At 43.6% G+C, this 4,965-nt stretch overlaps 1 pseudogene across 1 annotated transcript; it reads right to left on the minus strand.

The window, feature by feature from the left end:
• Nucleotides 1–1,093: 1,093 nt before the first annotated feature.
• Nucleotides 1,094–4,018, minus strand: REG1CP (regenerating family member 1 gamma, pseudogene; annotated as a pseudogene). Its single transcript, NR_002714.1, is given in 1 exon segment — nt 1,094–4,018. The product of NR_002714.1 is annotated as a regenerating family member 1 gamma, pseudogene (transcript).
• Between the last annotated feature and the right edge of the window lie 947 nt (nt 4,019–4,965).

A 4,965-nucleotide genomic window follows, 5' to 3' on the forward strand; every position in this document is an offset into this window, starting at 1 on the left:
AACATACAGACAGAAGTGTGGTCTTGGCGGCCACCGACAGGGAGATCTCCACACTGTTACTCCCTGGCCCCAGGGCTTATGTACCGCAGGGAAAGAGTGCACGTGCTCTATACAGACAATTAGAGGCAACCCTTCCAAACAGACAAGAATGCTATGTTCACTATAGCCTATCATTTGTGCAAAGACCTCAAGATTGTTTTTTTCTAAAGGCAAGATTTCTAGTAAGTATATGTTCTTACCCTAAGGACAGTAAATAATGTAGGAATCAGGAAGCATTCCCACGACTGGGGCTAATCAAAAGTCAACATGGCAGATTAGCACCCAAGATGGAGTCACTTTCATCTCCACAGTGTCTGTGAATCTAAGTCAATTTATTCATAGCTCATAAATAGATTTTGTTGTTGTTTTAATTCAGACTAACAATATGTGCCTTTTGATTGCATTGTTTTATTAAATCCCAGGTAATAGTATTATTGATGCTGTTGGTGTTATGGGCTGAATGGTGTTCCCACAAAATTAATTCATTAAAGTCCTAACATCAGTACTTCAGAATTTGACTGTATATGAAGATAGGATTATTAAATAACTATGCCTGAGTATTTTATTAATCTAATTTATTATTCATTTAGCCGTTCATTCCAGGAGTGCCATTTAACCAACATTGCTGGCCACCAAGCCTCTAGTCATTCCAACACCAATGCATTCAACACTGTAGACCTGACAATTCTCAAATTATCACTTCAGTCATAGCTTCAACTTGTATAACAAAGCACAGATGTGCCTTCCTCAGGTCACAGGTATGTGAACCTCTTTAGAGTACCAAACACTCCAGTCACTTGTAAATCAACAGTAATAATTTCTCTGACACTGGGTCCATGGAAATATGTGGGTGGTGAGTGAAATCCTTATCTTCTTAACATTGTCATAAGCAAGGCCACCATATGTTCATAAACCCTTGAGTCCAACATGCATGATATGTGGACAAAGTTTTTAAAAGTGAATGGGCCGAAGCAACTTCTAGAGTGCTACAATCACTGCCATCCCAACTACCCAGGCATTAGGTGGGGAAATAGCAGACACAGAAGACAGCACTATGGGGGAAACATGTTTATTTTTATTGTTTAGGGCTCCAGAAATTGAGGTAGGTAAAGATACTAAAGATCAGTCATGCAAATTTAGCAGAGGAGAGATGGTCCAGATTGATATGGAGAGAGATGGTCCAGTTTAATTCTTTTACTCCATAGTAACTGGTAGACCAATTCTAGACGTCCATTTTACAATTGCCTCCAGTATTTGAACTTGCAAACAAAGGAGAACTTCTCCTTACAAGAATCATCCTTCCATTTCTTGAATCCTATAAGACAATGAGAAGATTCAGACTGAGGGGATCAGAGTGTATTACCCTCCTGGCTGCAGGACTCAGCAAAAATAAAGAGGAAACACTCCTCTATTTCCTGAATGAGGAGCTCACCCTTCCTCTATCCCAGTCCCCGGTCGATCCTCAGAGATAAATAGGAGAGGATGGCAATAAGTGTGTGGATTCTGTGCCTCTCACCTGAGCTTGAAGTCAGGCTAGCACAGTAGGCAGTATTGGCACAGCTTGGGGATCCAATGTCCCAGGATTTGTAGGAGACCAGGGACCCACTACTCCACTGATAATGGCAGTTCTAGATGGGGAAGGGCCAGAACAGGGGCAGACGTGACTCAGAAAGAGACAGAAACACCTGGTTTGTGTTCGCACTCAGAAACAGGTCAAGACATAAGACAAGAATAAACCTTCCTTTTTCTCTAAGTGTCATATTATTTCCTCCACATTTTCTCTAAGCTGCTTCTTTCCTGGAATGTTCACCTACCTCTCTGTGTCCTGCCAAACGATAAGTGTTCTAAATTTGCCACAGGGAACCATGACACCTCATTATTGAAACTAGTTCCTGGTTTTTCTTTCCTGAGGCCCCAAAAGTTCATATCCAGCATAGCATTAGATGGCCATTAGTTGTTGATATATTATTTAGTATACCTTGCGGTTCCCAATTGCCAGCAGTAGATTCTCCTCCTCTATAATCTTTTTCTATATGGTCTACAGAAGGCTCTTCTATAACAGAGATGATAACACAATAGATAAGAGGTACATAATAGATACATAAAGATGCTACCCTAGAAGTACAGAGAATGAGTTTATCTGTGAATGCCTGAAACACACAGGAAATTCAGCTTTAAGCTTATCTCGAAGAACCTATGGAGAACCTTGATATCCTTTACATTATATGATTTATAGAGAGGTTGCTTTTATCATAATATAGTAAAAACTGATGCTTGAGGTGCCAGACATCAGACCCTCTGGAACCTGATAATCAGGAGGTAGAAGATGCAGCAGACTGATCCGGTGGGGGTCATGGAGGCCAATCCAGACATTGCTATCCTTGGTGCCACTCTCTTTAATCAGCGAAGCCACAAAGGCACCCTCAGCCTGGGTGAGCACAGACACCAGGTTACCTGAATTCATGTTCTGGCAGTAGAGCTGTTGGAGAAGAAAATGGAGCACTCAGTGAAGGAGGAAAGTGTGGGAGACATATTGAGCCCTCCCAGAGGATGTAACAGAAAAAGGACAGCACAGAAATGTCCCTGATGATGCTGTCACTGACCACCAGCATCTCTGTGCTGAATGATGGGATAAAGTAGATTGGAAAGTTTTGGGCTGATGATTGGATAGGGAGGGGATTAGTCTCATCTCATATCAGCCACTGAACACACTGGAGAGTGGCAGCTTCCCCTCCCTTCGTGAGCCTCCCTTCCCACACTGCTCTCCTCACTCACATCTGCATAAACCCAGGTCTCATGCTCTTCATTAAAGTAGTAGCAGTGGGAGCCTTAGGCACTGGTGCCTTCTGGGCAGCTGATCTGGGCCTTGGGCAACTCAGCATGGGCCTCCTGTCCTGGGAAAAGAGAGACAATTAAGAAAGACCCTCAGGGCAAGGTAAAGGCTAAAATATGAGGTAGGAGCTTCTGAGGATTCTTTATAGGAATAGAAGGATCCTATAGGTCACGAAGCGATTGGTCACTTCTGCCCTTCTGCATCTTACCTATAGGCTCTCAAGATGTCTTTGCTCAAGACAAGAGCACACAATGAATAGGCTCATGAAAAGTGTCCCCATTGTCCCTTTTACTTATGGCTTTTTCTTCCTTGAAGGACTGAGGCTTCTTTCTCAAGCCTGTCCAGTTTCTCTACACACAAAGCTCCCCTCAGTTCCCCATTCCACTAATGACTGTCTACAAACAGACATCCTCAACCCCCCCATCATGAGTAGTGTTAATATGACAAACCAATGCCAACTGCAGTGGTCACTGATAAAGGGTTATGCTAAGTTCCATCTCTAACTCCTTAGGGAGGTCAGGATGTTTTTGAATGGGATGAGATCAGCAATAAATATCACTGAACAACACAAGACAACCCCTGAACTTGACTCTGCTTTTTCTCAAGTGAACTCATATGCATGAGGATAGAGTGAGGGCTTCAGGGCTGGGGTTGTGGGAGGTATGTGTGGGGAAAACAATCTCACCTTGGCTCAGAGACAGGAACATCAGGCAGGAGATCAGCATGAAGCATGAGTTGGTCTGAGCCATGCTGAGCAGCAGTGAATCTCTTGCTTAAGGAGCAAATCAGCAATCTCTATAGGAAAACACAGGGAAGAGGGTTTGAGAGAATGAGAGCAGAGCACCTATTACCTTCCTTATTTCCTCCTCTGAATTCCTGACAGCAGGAAGGTCCTCTGAGATATCTACATTCCCATATATTTCTCTTGAGAATCTGGAAACTATACAGGCTCAGTAATCCAAAATAACTTTGGCTTCTACTGAGGCTTCGTTACTGCTGACACCTCTTGGACAGATGACGCTGTATCTTCCCCAAGATTTTAGATTACAGCCCTTGTGAAAGGTACCCTTCTCCTGTAATGCCCACTTACTTGTTGGCTGAATCTGAGGTGGCTTTTCAGGCTAGGTAATGGTAGAGATGTATAACAGGATCTGAGAGAAGAGCCACAGTATTTAAGCCGGGGTGGAGCAAGGAGTGAGAGACAGCGGTTCTACAGAGGGCATTGACAGTAAGAGGTTCTGGCATCAAGAGGAGCTCTTCCTGGCATATCCTGGGAATGGCCACAGATGAAGTCCCTTCCCCTAAACTGGAAACCTTTCCAAGTTCAAGGCAGACCTTGCCCTTGCTCAGCAGAAACCAGATGTCCTATCCTGCAGCCCTGAAGATCCAGCAAGCAGCTGAGACCTTCCAGGAATCTTGGCAGCTGTTATGCAGGCTAGGCCAGCAGTAGTAGAGGCAGAGAGAGTGAGAACCTGGAGTAGGGCCGTCTTTGAGACACAGGGAGAAGGGAGCTGCTGAATGGTTATGGAGCATCCCTGTTTGGAGCAGTGGGGCAAATAGAGTTTAAAATATTGGTAACTTAATTGACTTTTCCAATACTGTACTATGGAAGAAAGCAGAGCTAAAACTCAATTCTTCTTTTTTTCTCCTTCGTAGTCTAATATACTGTTGTTGTTGCTGTTGTTGTTGTTGTTTGTTTGTTTTGGTCTCTGAGCACCCTCCACTTGCAGGTTCTGTCAGTCCATGTATGGTCAGTCCTTCTGCACTGTCCATTTCCTGACAAGACCACTGCCTGCATCACCCTGTTATAACCTTTATGTACTTCTCAAACCATTCATGCATTTCAATTTGGACTGTCCCACAAGTAGCTGAAAAGCCTATGCTTTCCTTCCTCTGTTGAGCACACTTTTAAAACCATCAAGATCACTCTCTATCTTTTGCAAAAGGAGCTCCAGGTTCTTTCTGAGAATCTCCCTTACTGGATTTGCTGGCTTGCCTTCTGATCCTACCATCCAGTAGAATTTCCTATTGGTTCTTTTCAACATTGGCATTTTCTCTACTTAGCCAATTAAAGAACACAATAGGGCCAGACC

Source organism: Homo sapiens, chromosome 2 (genome assembly GCF_000001405.40).
Source record: "Homo sapiens chromosome 2, GRCh38.p14 Primary Assembly".
Classification (NCBI taxonomy): Eukaryota; Metazoa; Chordata; class Mammalia; order Primates; family Hominidae; genus Homo; species Homo sapiens.